General features: G+C 38.3%; 1 protein-coding gene across 1 annotated transcript in view; it reads left to right on the top strand.

The window, feature by feature from the left end:
* The window catches only part of PSME4 (proteasome activator subunit 4), a 106925-nt gene extending 92432 nt beyond the window's left edge, over window positions 1-14493 (top strand). Inside the window, exons 42-47 of the mRNA NM_014614.3 lie at window positions 2807-2935; window positions 4068-4223; window positions 9024-9186; window positions 11682-11815; window positions 12339-12477; window positions 12989-14493. Of these exons, the coding sequence (NP_055429.2) occupies window positions 2807-2935; window positions 4068-4223; window positions 9024-9186; window positions 11682-11815; window positions 12339-12473 (717 nt within the window). The 3' untranslated portion in view covers window positions 12474-12477; window positions 12989-14493. The remainder of the gene's footprint in view (window positions 1-2806; window positions 2936-4067; window positions 4224-9023; window positions 9187-11681; window positions 11816-12338; window positions 12478-12988) is intronic.

Raw genomic sequence — 14493 nt, 5'->3', positions numbered from 1 at the left:
ATTCAGCGATATTTCTCCTATTTGCTTTTGAAAGAAGAGAAATATGGCTCTGTTCCACCAGGCTCACAGGCAGCCAGAGTTTAAGGTCATCTCCTTTGTTGTCTGAACATTGCTGTTATCCTGTTCTTTTTTCAAGGTGCCCAGATTTCATATTGTTTAAACAATTTGTGCAATTAACACAATTATCACAGGGTCCTGAGGCGACATTCATCCTCAGCTTATGAAGATGATGGGATTAAGAGATTAAAGTAAAGACAGGCATAGGAAATCACAAGAGTATTGATTGGGGAAGTGATAAGTGTGCATGAAGTCTTCACAATTTATGTTCAGAGATTGCAGTAAAGACAGGCATAATAAATTATAAAAGTATTAATTTGGGGAACTAATAAATGTCCATGAAATCTTCACAATTTATGTTCTTCTGCCATGGCTTCAGCCGGTCCCTCCGTTTGGGGTCCCTGACTTCCTGCAACAGCCAGTAGAAAGTAAATGAATATGTGCTTTTGCTAGACACTCCTACACACCCCTCTTTATTGGTTATTTCCTCAGAGACTCACTTTTACAGTATGATATTAAACATCCCGATTTTTCCCAGTAGAACAGGTGGAAACATATAACTCAGTATGGTTTTAATTTGCAAAAAGAAATAATTTTTATTCTAAAATACCAAGGATTATATTAACTGAGGTAAAATATTTAAAGCTCAGCATTATGAAATGTCTTTGCATACCCATAACAAAAAAAGAACTGAATCATGCCTTTGTTATGACAAAGGCTCTCCTTGACCAAACTTAAGTCAGCTCCTCTGAGCCATCTTTCTGACTAGATCTCAACCTTGGGCTCTGTCTTTGGCCTGTCTGTCTTTGGTCCAGTTTTAGCAAGACTGTCTCTAATCTAGTTTAGAAAGAATCCCCCACCCTTGGTATCTGATCACCCTATTCTACCTTTTGCAGGAATCCCGTTAAGTAGGTTTAGGAGGAAACCTCCTACCCCTGATGTCGCTGAATAAACTTTTCCTTAATAATTTATCAAATGTCAGAATAATTTTTTTTAACAACAGTTTCAAGCTGAGTGTATTAATTCACTATGATAGTTTGTCCAGTATTTGATAGAAATAATTTCCCTTAGCAAACTTTATTTTTTTTTTAAGAGACAGGGTATCACTCTGTCACCCTGGCTAGAGTGCAGTGCTGTGATCATAGCTCACTGTAACCTTGAACTCCTGGGCTCAAGCAATCTTCCCACCTCAGCCTCCCAAGGACTATAGGCATGTGGCACCAAGCCCAGCTAATTTTTTTTTTTTTTTTTTTTTTTGTAGAGGCAGGATCTTGCTCTGTTATCCATGCCAGCCTCATGAGAATCCCTCCAACTTAGCACCCCGGAGTCCCTTAGCAAACTTTATTAAAGCTTTCCCCTACTGAATGTGCAAGGGTATATTTTTTAAATATTTAAAACGTATTTAAGGCATCAGACAGCATACATTCATAGTCAAAGTATGGTACCAGACAAACCTGATTTCTTCATTAAAACAAATACGGATACTGGGTACACTGGCCCATGCCTGTAATCTCAGCACTTTGGGAGGCCAGCGCAGGAAGATTGCTCAAGCCCAGGAGTTTGAGACCAATCTGGGCAACACAGTGAGATTCTGTCTCTACCATACATTTAAAAAAAAAAATAGCTGGACACGGTGGTGCGTGCCTGTGGTCCCAGCTACTCAGAAGGCTGAGGTGGGAGGATCACCGACCCCAGAAAGTTGAGGCTACAGTGAGCCATGGTTGTGCCACTACACTCCAGCCTGGGCTACAGCGCAAGACCCTGTCTCAAAAAAAAAAAAAAAAAAAAGAATGACAGTGGCTACAGCCATCAGATTTGTTGGAATTCATAATGATAGTCTTTTAAAAATTCTTATCTACTTTTGGAGGACAGAAGGGAAATCATTATTCCAAATGAGGGAAAGCTTATATATATATATATAAGTATTCTAGCTAATAATGAAGAAGGAATGACCATTTCGCAAATCTCTCTTTTTATAATGGATTATCACAGAAAGACAAAGCTAAATATCAATGAAAGAAATACACAGCACCACTTATGTTGTGCCCAAAAAAGTGAAACTTCAATAAAGTCAGACCTTTACATCTAATAGCCAATTTATAAGACTTACTGGGGCCAAGGAATACCACTGCAGGGATGCAATCAGCAAAGGCCACAGTGGGGAAACTATAAAACAACAGACACAGCTTTTTTTCCCTGAGGAAAAAAAATACAGAGCAAGGGATTTTAAGATAGTTGCGGGGGGGAATATATGCATTGAAAGAGATTTATGAAACATACCAAGTAAGTACAATATGTGGTCATTACCTTAAACCTGATTTCAAAAAACCAGTTGTAATAACACATGAATGTGGTACTTGGGGAAATCTGAGTACCGCCACATATTTTATATTATAACTGTAACGAAGTTTTATGTGTGATGATGTCCATTACATGATTCTTTTTTAAGGGACCTTTTAGAAATAACATAATAAAATATTTAGGATGAAACAGTCAGGGATTTGCTTCAAATAATTTCATTGGGGAATGAGAGTCAGAGGGGAGGAAAAATGAAACAAAAGATTATGAGTTTGTCATTATTGAAGAGGTGATTGGCTCATGGGGGTTCATTATGCTATTCTCTAGTTTATGTGTTTGAAATTTTCCATAAAAATTGTTAAATTAAAGATGTGTTGTCTCTCATGTAGGATGCCTTTGTACTTATTGGCAATTATTTTTCCATTTTTGTCCTTTTTACATTGTTTTTTAGATTGCCCCAGTGGAAAATGACAATAGCTACGATGAACTGAAAAGAGATGCAAAGTTATGTTTATCATTAATGTCTCAGGGGTTGCTTTACCCTCATCAAGTGCCTTTGGTACTTCAGGTGCTAAAACAAGTAAGAGTGTTTATAATATTTATGTCTTTTGATTAGGATTTTGGTTTACCATTCTAAGAATTTCAGTCAGCTGCAGTGCACACAGCGCCTAGTTTTTGTTTTGAATTTTCTTTTAGTATAAGAGAAGACATATATATTGACCAAAGAAACAGACCTAGATTCTGTGCCTGGCTCTGCCCCTGCCTTCTGTGACTTTGGGCAAGTCAGTCAAGCCAAAAATATGCAGATAGCTAATTCATTATTAAGTGCTTTGGATAAAAAGTGCTTATGAGGAAGGTGGATGGTGGTTCCTTTCTACCACCAGTTCCCCTTTGTTTTGCTCACTTCTGTTACCTGGTCTTTTCTAGAGAGACCTATACTGACTGTACATTTTCTGCCTGCATTGTTGGTATACTGTATGGTCAGCTTTATCCAGACATTACACATGTTATATAGAAGTGGACGTCTTCCCATAGCTTTCATTTTAAATTTGATAACCACACTGGAAAATATTTTCAACAACCTACAATTGTATTTCTTTGTAGTAGAATTTAGTAGTTGTTAATCATTTGCTTTCCAGACCCTGCTGTTGCTACCAAAAGTAAAATAATGTGCCATCCTCAGAGGAGTTAGGAGCCATTAATCATGACTGTCTCTTGTGAAATTGACTTTTACCTTTGTGTGGGTTTTTTTGTTATTGTTTTTGAGACAGAGTTCGCTCTGCTGCCCAGGCTGGAGTGCAGTGGCCCCATTCTGCTCACTGCAACCTCCGCCCCCCAGGTTCATGCGATTCTCTTGTCTCAGCTTCCCAAGTAGCTGGGATTACAGGTGCCTGCCACCACACCCAGCTAATTTTAGTATTTGTAGTGGAGACAGGGTTTCACCATGTTGGCCAGGCTGATCTCAAACTCCTGACCTCAGGTGATCCACCCACCTCACTCATCCTCCCAAAGTACTGAGATTACAGGCGTGAGCCACTGTGCCCAGCCTCATTCAACCTTTTATTTATAACGAAATATGAGCTTGTCCTAACTATACCTGTGTAAATAGAGTTAAATTAGAATATTACATTGTTTGTGTGTAATGTCACTATCTGTCATCTCATGTTCTTGTCAGTACTGCTTTATCGTTTATATTTATTTGTCATTCACAGACAGCAAGAAGCAGTTCTTGGCATGCACGATACACAGTACTGACCTACCTCCAGACCATGGTATTTTATAACCTCTTTATTTTCCTAAACAATGAAGATGCAGTTAAAGATATCAGGTGGCTGGTTATAAGTCTTTTGGAGGACGAACAACTGGAGGTAAAATTTAAGTTATAGAAAACGGAAATTCAGTCAATTTAAAGAAACCATCATGGTTCCCTTTTTAATAAGTATTTGCGGCCAGGTGCAATTGTTTATATTTATAACCTCAACTCTTTGAGAGACGAAGTCAGTGAGATCACTTGATGCCAGGAGTTTGAGACCAGCCTGGACAACGTAGCAAGACTGTCTCTACAAAAAGTACCAAAATTAGCTGGACATGATGGTGTGCACCTGTGATCCCAGCTATTCAGGAGGTCGAGGTCGGAGGATCGCTTAAGCCTGGAGGTTGAGCCTGCAGTGAGCTGTGATTGTACCACTGCATTCATCCTGAGCAGCAGAGTGAGACCCTGTCTCAAAAAAATTAAATAAAAATAACTTTAATTTTAACATAGCCCTATGTGAGTAATTTTGATACCCTAATCATGATTCCTTATAATACAAATGGAAGAAAAATTGGGCATGTTTTCGTTCTGTCTTCTTTGCAGTTGGGCAAATAATACTCCTGAACCCAAGTTTTCTTAACCATGAGAAATTGGGGATGATAATTGTAATTGTCCCACTAGTCCTACTGATTTTTAAGGAACTCATGAGAATGTGCATGATGGCAGTTTCAAAGGGATTAAAAATCTACACATAGGCGCTGCTATCCAGTAGACTTAATACAGGTTTGCTGTCCTTTTTTTGTTTTTCTTTGGTAGAAAAAGGTAACTTTTGTGGTGAGGTTACATTAATGGTTTGTACAAAAAGATAATGTATTATCCCATACAGCCAAATGTAAGAGCATGTTGGCAGTAAATATGGCATGAGATACTACTTTTTAAGTTGGCATTAAGGAAGAAAATGTAATGGAATTTTTGGTGAAAATTTTGCTTATTTTATGGACTTCATAGTTTTGTCTTGTAGTAAAGTACTCACAGTATTTTATATACTTATTGGTATTGAAAATAGATTTTACTCACAGGAAAGTAGGAATGGAAATTTCTCTACCTCCCTAATGAGTCTATTTATATTTCTTATATTCTGAGAGTGGATATTTTCTAGTCCCGGTGGTACTCACAGACTGGTTATAACAACTGTTTTTTTTTTTCTTTTTTTTTGAGACGGAGTCTCGCTGTTACCCAGGCTGGAGTGCAGTGGCACGCTCTCAGCTCACTGCAAGCTCCGCCTCCTGGGTTCACGCCATTCTCCTGCCTCAGCCATCCCAAGTAGCTGGGACCACAGGCGCCCGCCACCATGCCTGGCTAATTTTTTGTATTTTTAGTAGAGACGGGGTTTCACCATGTTAGCCAGGATGGTCTCGATCTCCTGACCTCGTGATCTGCCTGTCTCAGCTTCCCAAAGTGCTGGGATTACAGTCGTGAGCCACCACGCCTGGCCTGGTTATAACAACTCTTAACAGACTTCAATTAAAATATTTACAGCTGTGATTTTTTTTTTTTAATTTCTTATTATTCTTTAAAAACTAACCTAAAGGAGTGGAAACAATGACCTTGTCATTGTTTCCTAACTTTAATTATTATACCGCTTGCATTTAGGAGCTTCTTTTAGAACATTTTTATGGTTTCTCTTTTTTTTTTTTTTTTTTTTTTTTTTTGAGACCAAGTCTTGCTTTGTTGTCCAGGCTGTAGTGCAGTGGCACAATTATGGCTCACTGCAGCCTCTGCCTCCTGAGCTCAAGTGATCCTCCCACCTCAGCCTCCTGAGTAGCTGGGACTATGGGTATTTGCCACCACACGGAATTACTTTTTTTGTGATTTTGTAGAGGCAAGGTTTTGCCATACTGCCCAGGCTGGTCTCAAACTCCTGGGCCCAAGCAATCTACCCGCCTTGGCCTTATAAATTATTTTTATATTTTCTTCCATATAGAGGTTTAAACATAGCTGTTATATAAACATAACCATGATCATTAAAACTATCATATTTTTAAAGCAACATGTAAAACCAAAAAGCAGTAATAATTCGCTAAATTCTGTTCGTTGATAGTATGGGGAAAAACAATGTTATCTAAATGAGAACTGTTTAAAGAAACCTTACTGTATTTAAAGGAAACTTCTTAGAAATAGAGGAAAATAGTATGTTTTTAGCTGAGAAGGCTAAATATATTCTTTCCTCACTTTTTAAAGTTAGTTAATTATAGACATGTACCCTGGAGTAAAATATCTCAGAAGTAGACCCTGTCACTGGAAAAGAGCATAAATCAGTTGGAGGTGTTGGGGATCATTTGTTAGCAATTTGAAGTAAGAGAAAAATAAATTAAAACATCTCATATTACAGTATATTTTTGATAAAGAGATTTACCATCCCCGCCCCCCCTTTTTTTGGAGAGGGAGTTTCACTCTTTTTGCCCAGGCGGGAGTGCAGTGGTGCGATCTCGGCTCACTGCAACCTCTGCCCCCTGGGTTGAAGCGATTCTCCTGCTTCAGCCTCCTGAGTAGCTGGGATTACAGACACCTACCACCATGCCCAGCTAATTTTTATATTTTTAGTAGAGACGGGGTTTTACCATGTTGGCCAGGCTGGTCTCAAACTCCTGACCTCAGGTGATCCACCCGCCTGGGCCTCCCAAAGTACTAGGATACAGGCGTGAGCCACCATGCCCTGCCAATCACCACCTCCGGCTTTAAAAAATAAATTAGGAGAAAGTGGATTTGGATATTATTTATAGGAACGTAATAGGAGCAGAGATGACTTTCTAAGCCTTTGAGTTAATAGACGTCACATCAAAACATGCACAGATCTGACTACTCAGAGTGGTGGTGGTATTGTAATAATGTATGCAGATAGCCGGGCGTGGTGGCTCATGCCTGTAATCCCAGCACTTTGGGAGGCCGAGGTGGGCGGATCACGAGGTCAGGAGATCGAGACCATCCTGGCTAACATGGTGAAACCCCATCTCTACTAAAAATACAAAAAAATTAGCCAGGCGTGGCAGCGGGTTGTAGCTGTAGTCCCAGCTACTTGGGAGGCTGAGGCAAGAGAATGGCATCAACCCAGGATGTGGAGCTTGCAGTGAGCCAAGATCGTGCCACTGCACTCCATCCTGGTGACAGAGCGAGACTCCATCTCAAAAAAAAAAAGTATACAGATAAAGACATTACTTGCTATAAGCAGTGAAAAGTCACACCTCCCAATGACCAGGAAAATGCAAACTTGAAACAGTGAGGCATTTTTAGCTACTCCTAATTTAGTGTTTTCCTCCCTTCACAAAACAAAAATGTGTAGTGATGAAAAGCAGTGTAAGGTATAACTGGTAGTTCACATTTAAGTTTTGTGTCATTATATGTTAGCACTAGCTTTTTTGAAAAGCAACTAATAGCCATAAAATTAGCTGTAAAATTGTTTATATCTTTAAACTTACTAATCCCAATTTTTGTAATCTATTCTAAGAAAATATACTGCAGGCCGGGCACAGAGGCTTACGCCTGTAATCCCAGCACTTTGGGAGGCCAAGGCAGGAGGATTGCTTGAGCCCACGAGTTGGAGATCAGCCTGGGCAACAAAAAAAAAAGTGAGACCTGTGTCTACAAAAAATAAAAAAATAAAAATGGAGTATATTGAAAATATATACTGTAATATGAAAAGTTACACAAATTAAGAATATAGCATAGTACTGAGAATATGAAAGCAATCTAGTCAGTATTTATGAAAATAAACTTTGGTGGCTGGGTGCGGTAGCTCATGCCTGTAATCGCAGCACTTTAGGAGGCTGACGTGGGCGGATCACGAGGTCAGAAGATCAAGACCATCCTGGCTAACACGGTGAAACCCCATCTCTACTAAAAATACAAAAAAAAAAAAATTAGCCATGGTGTCAGGTGCCTGTAGTCCCAGCTACTTGGGAGGATGAGGCAGGAGAATGGCATGAACCCAAGAGGCAAAGCTTGCAGTGAGCCGAGACTGCGCCACTGCACTCCAGCCTGGGTGACAGAGCGAGACTCCATCTCAAAAAAAAAAAAAAAAAACGAAAAGAAAAGAAATTGTGGCATATAAGCTTTATAGGAAATAGTGCAACCAGTAAAACATTTTATGATGTATTTCATATGCTAGTGTAATGAACGCAGCAAAGAACATGTTACGTACTCGACAGACGATGATAAAATTATGAGAAACCTTTTGAAGGAATACAACAGAGCAAAACATCTGTTTTTTAAAATTATCATTGTGTATTATGAATATTAAACAAATGTTTGTGATTTATATGTGAAACAATGTCTTTTTACCGCTTTTTTGTTTTCCCAAAAGTTGAGTTACCATTCCAATTTGAAATGGACTGTGTACACGCTTCATTTAGTACTTTTGTAAACTGTGTTTGTGATCTGACAGCAGCCTGTGAAATTCATAAGAATCACATAGGATGTAAGTCTCCATGATGTATGCCAATTACAGAAATTAGGTTGGTCTGTGTCTTTGTTACTAACAAAAATAGCTATAGCAGTGGCCTTCAGAGATGTAGAGTCTGGAAAAACTTGATCTTAATGTCAGGTTCTGGCACTGCTTTTACAGTTATAGCCCTGATGAGAGCTATCAGTAGGGAAAATAATTTATGGAGAAATTTAATTTTGCTAAAAGAGATAAAAGTTTATGCTCATAACCCTAATGTAGTTTTTATCCATTATGAGGCCACAAACTCTTTGAGAATCTGCTGAAATCTCTATTAAGAAACTGCCAAAGAGCATACACAAAATTTGCATGCAATTTCAGGGAAGGTCTTCACCCCAGTTCCCACACTACCCCCTATCCTCCATTATTCCCTCAGACTTAGAATGTCAGTCCTAATAGAAATTATTATATCTACAGGTTCGAGAAATGGCTGCTACTACCTTAAGCGGTCTGCTACAGTGTAACTTTCTTACCATGGACAGTCCTATGCAGATTCATTTTGAGCAACTTTGCAAAACAAAACTACCTAAGAAAAGAAAGCGAGACCCTGGTTCTGTAGGAGATACCATTCCTTCTGCAGGTAACATTGCTGGTAGGAAACACCTGTATCCTATTGGGAATTAATGAGGGTTAACCAGGCTTACTCATATTTATTGAATAACTTGTATGTATGTGCCCAGGTCTATGCTAGGTATTGGGAAAAGTTTTCCCTACTTTTGAGGAGTTTTGCATATAGAAAGCAGGACTTGGAATGTAGAAAAGCTAAAATTGAGGTAGATAGAAAGGAACCTGTAGAACTGCTACCTAACAACTATTGTATTCAGTCTACCCTCCGCCCAGAATAGCTTCATAAAAAAGAGATATTCAGAATTAGTTATTTTGGAGGGTCTGAAAAACCTGTTTTGGAATTTAGAACTTAAATGTAGATGTACTAACAGAAAAAACTAAAGCAAGCCTTGTTTTTTATTTGGAGAGGGGATTATTCGGTCCTTCATTAGTCCTTTGGTGAGAGGGTGCGGAGTCATTGCAGGAGCTTCCAATCTAATTGAATATAGACACAAGATAAACACGAGAATAAGATCTGACTACTATGTCATGTTTAAAAAGAAATGTAAATGTGATTACAAAGATGCATCTTGCCATGTTAACTGTAATCATAATAGAAAATACATAAAAAGATTAATAGTAAGTAGGAATTTTATTGAATTTAGAGGAAGTGCTTAAATATAAAGCTTTTACTGCTGATTAGTGTCTTAATTATGTCATAAAGTTACCTAGTAACAGAATCCAATAAAATATCAATGTACATTCTAGTATCTTTGCTTTTTGGGATATATATATGTATGTATATATATTATATATATATTATAAATATATTTTATAATATATATTATATATATTATAAATATATTTATAATATATATTATATATATTATAAATATATTTTATAATATATATCATATATATATATATTATAAATATATTTTATAATATATATTTTTTGGAAACAGGATCTTCCACTGTCACCCAGGCTGGAGTGCAGTGGCATGATCTCAGCCCCCTGCAACCTCCACCTCCTGGGTTCAGGCGATTCTCATGCCCCTGTTAGCCGAGTAGCTAGGATTGCAGGCGCGCGCTACTACACCTGGCTAATTTTTTGTATTTTTAGTAGAGTTTCACCATGTTGATCAGGCTGGTCTTGAACTCCTGACCTCAAGTGATCCACCCACCTGGGCCTTCTAGAATACTGGGATTACAGACGTGAGCCACAGCACCTGGCCTGAGAACTCTGTTTTTTTAATGATAAAGCACCAAAGTATTTTTAGGTCTTTTGTTACACCAAATGATATTGTTCACAATTTTGACCAGTCCAAATTCTCTTTTCCTTACCTTCAACTCCCTATTTTCCATGTGTCACAAATACAAATGTAATATGCTTTAAAACATGTGAATACACACACCTTTATTGAGGAACTGAGAATTTGAAACCACTTACACCACTACAGAACTAACTTACACTACTACAGAAAGAATAGAGACTCTTTAGAATACAGACATGCTGCAATTCTCTGTTTTAAGAAATAGACATTCTTCATACATGATGTGTTTACTAATGAATTGATGTATTCTGGGTAGGGGCGTCACATCCAGAAAAAAAAAACCACGCTAATTTTGATTGGAGATTGTTTTAGAATCAGGGATTGTACTGGCCTAGGTACAATTATGCTGTCATTGATAAGCAACTATGGAAGTCTTTAAAAATCCTTTTTTTTTTTTTTTTTTTTTGAGGTAAGGTCTTCCTCTATCGCCCTCCTTGGAGTGCAGTGGTTTTGAATATGGCTCACTGCAGCCTTGACCTCCCAGGCTCAAGCGATCCTCCTGCCTCAGCCTCTTGTCTAGCTGGAACCACAGGCATGCACTGCCATGCCTAGCTTTTTTTTTTTTTTTTTTTTCCTTGAGACGGAGCCTCACTCTGTATCCCAGGCTGGAGTACAGTGGTGCGATCTTGGCTCACTGCAGCCTCTGCTTCCCTGGTCAAATGATTCTCATGCCTCAGCTTCTGGGTATCTGTGACTTCACATGCCATCACACCCAGCTAATTTTTGTATTTTTAGCAGAGACAGGGTTTCGCCACGTTGGCCAAGCTGTTCTTGAACTCCTGACCTCAGGTCATCCACCCGCCCTGGTCTCTCAGTGTGCTGGGATTATAGGCATGAACCACCATGCCTGGCCACCAGCTGATTTTTAAAAATTATTTTTGGAGAGACAGGTTCTCACTTTATTGCCCTGGCTGGTCTCAAATTCCTGGCCTCAAGTGATCCTCCTACCTTGGCCTCCCAAAGTGCTGGGATTACAGGTATGAGCCACTGTGCCCAGCTGACAAATTCTTAAATACAGAATTATTTTTAGTTTAGCCTCAAAATCAAGTATTTGATGTGTTTACATGTAGATTCATTTTAAATGCAGAAATTCACATATTGAAAACAACACAATTGAAAACTAATTTTATCTCACTGTAACAAGTGCATTAGAGACATATATATATTTGCACAAATGTTGCTATTCTCTTTGCAGAGTTGGTCAAACGCCATGCTGGGGTGCTAGGACTTGGTGCATGTGTTCTTTCTAGTCCTTACGATGTTCCCACCTGGATGCCCCAGCTCCTCATGAATCTCAGTGCACATCTAAATGATCCTCAGCCTATTGAGGTACAGTTCTTCCTTATTAGTTTGTACGTGTATTATCAGTGATGTTTTCTAAGAAACCATAATAATAATTTCCTATACACTCTGAACTAACTGCTTTCATAAAGCTGCTGCCTCTGCCAAGGCTTAGTCTGCTCACCAGTAATTATTAAAAAATTACAGAGACCTTGCTGCCATGGATATTTGAGATCTTTTGGTAGTGAGGAAATTATTGTAGCTTCTATCCCTCCCAGTCCAATGGAAGTAAAGTACTGTCAATATTGTTGTGATAAATTTTATGTTTCTATTTTTCTAGCACTGCAAAGTATTTTACTGGAAGCTAATATTAAATAGGAAATTATGATGGCATTTTTAGTAACTCAAAAGACCATTCACTTTGTCCTTCTCATTGGCTTTTTGGTTTTGTAGAACTTGGTATTGTGTGAGATCTGAAGTCTAGAGGGACGGTAATTTAACTAAAAGTATCCTACATATGATCCTGGTTGTCCAGAGAGGTTAAAACGTATGTGGGTTGTCTACTTTACAGATGACTGTAAAAAAAACCTTATCCAATTTCCGAAGGACTCACCATGACAACTGGCAGGAACATAAACAGCAATTCACTGATGACCAACTGCTTGTTCTCACCGATCTTCTTGTGTCACCATGCTATTATGCATAGAAAGGTAAGTCAGCAAAGTTCTGAATTTACATTGGTTTGGTGACTGAGAACTAGATATTTATTGTTTTTTTTCTTTTTGCTGACATTCTTAGATGTCAGTGTTTAGATAAAGTTGGATGGCGGGGATTGTTTGTTTTTAAACATGGCTTTTGCTACGGCCATTGGAAATGAGAATTTTGCTGTGCCTCCTTGCTTTAGGTTTAAAGCAGAGAAAATGTGTGACTGCTTTTGGACCTTTGTAGATGAGTGGTGTCAGCCTGGGAATAGTTAGATAAAGGAAAATACATCTTATTCTTGGTTGCCTCCTGGGTGGGGCTGGGACATTTTGTGTGGCCCTGAGGACTCTGGGTTCTAAAAGTTGTGAGAACTTGATCTGGATTCTTACACCCATTCTGTTAAAGAGGGAGTACCCAGAAGCCTTTCTACTGGAATAGGAAGAATAAAAATTTCATTTATTAGGCTTTTAGAGTTGGATGTCTTGTTACCTAATTGAAATTTTTTCCTCCCTGATACAGATGACTAGTCCTCACTTCAGGCTCTTTTCATCAAAAATTCCACACCCTCAGGTACCATCTGTGGTGGCTCTCTGCAAGTTTTAAAACTGCCTCTGCTGAGCTCTCATCATTTTGGTGGTTTCTGTGTTAGATCTCGTTAGTCTGCATTCCACAGCTTCTCAGTTGCCATTTGATTTCCCAACTTGTCCGGAAGTGTTTCCAGAATACTGATCACTTTTTTTTTTTGAGGCATCTGACAAAGTCACAAAGTCTCAGACTAGAAATAATTACCCAGTATGATCATGGCATCCAAGACCAGAGTCTCAGAACTCATTAAGAAACAGTTTACTTGGAATGGAGAATACCCATCTGTAATACAGGTCCTGTCATTTCATTCATCTCAAATTATTTTGAATTCTTCCCAAATGGCTGCTGGATTTAGGTGGTAATAGGGGCTGTGGGCCATAAATCTGAAGCCTTGAGAACCTTGGGTCTGGAGAGCCATGAAGAGGGAAGGAAAAGAGGGCAAGTCCTGAACCTAACCAATGACCTGATGGATTGCTCGACCAAGACACAGAAGTGAAGTCTGTGTCTGTGCACTTCCCACAGACTGGAGTTTTTGGTGCTGAATAGAGCCAGTTGCTAAAAAATTGGGGGTTTGGTGAAGAAATCTGATTGTTGTGTGTATTCAATGTGTGATTTTAAAAATAAACAGCAACAACAATAAAAACCCTGACTGGCTGTTTTTTCCCTGTATTCTTTACAACTATTTTTTGACCCTCTGAAAATTATTATACTTCACCTAAATGGAAGACTGCTGTGTTTGTGGAAATTTTGTAATTTTTTAATTTATTTTATTCTCTCTCCCTTTTTATTTTGCCTGCAGAATCGTTGAGAGACTAATAAGGCTTAATATTTAATTGATTTGTTTAATATGTTATATAAATGTAAAAGAGTGTATAAACTGTAGAGATAGCATTGGCAAGACATTGTACAGATGCAACCTTTTACACAACATCATTGTGTAATTTGTAAAGATTCACGTGTAGTTCTTTATTATAGTGATTTTGGGCTTTGTACCCACTGAATGCCATTTTTTGTGTTTTTAAATTATTTTCTTTATCTTGTTACAAAAACTGAGATGTGGGGTTTTTTTTTTTTCAGTTCACTTATCATTAGAATGTCTGAACTTTTATGTAACATTTTTGTGTGCATCTCTCAATGCTAACACCACATGTTTGCCTATGACAAGTTTATAGAGTGAAAGGTATCTTCTGGGTTGAAATAATTCACAAATTGGTGAATGTCATCTTGCAACACACCCTGTACAGTCTTCCTTAAAGGAACACTACAGTATATTTTTAGTATCTACATGCTGAATGACTGAATACAGACCTAAGCACAGCAGTGGTCCTGGTACAGTATTTAAGTGTCGGCATACACAGGCGTAATCCCTGTATAAAGTAGTGCCAAACTGATTTCAGTTGTGTAACTAGTTTAAAACCCAATAAATGGATTCTTTTTAA

This window comes from Homo sapiens, chromosome 2, assembly GCF_000001405.40.
Source record: "Homo sapiens chromosome 2, GRCh38.p14 Primary Assembly".
In the NCBI taxonomy this organism is placed as follows: domain Eukaryota; kingdom Metazoa; phylum Chordata; class Mammalia; order Primates; family Hominidae; genus Homo; species Homo sapiens.
Note: the sequence above shows the minus strand (reverse complement) of the source record. Positions and strands in the feature narration are given on the sequence as shown.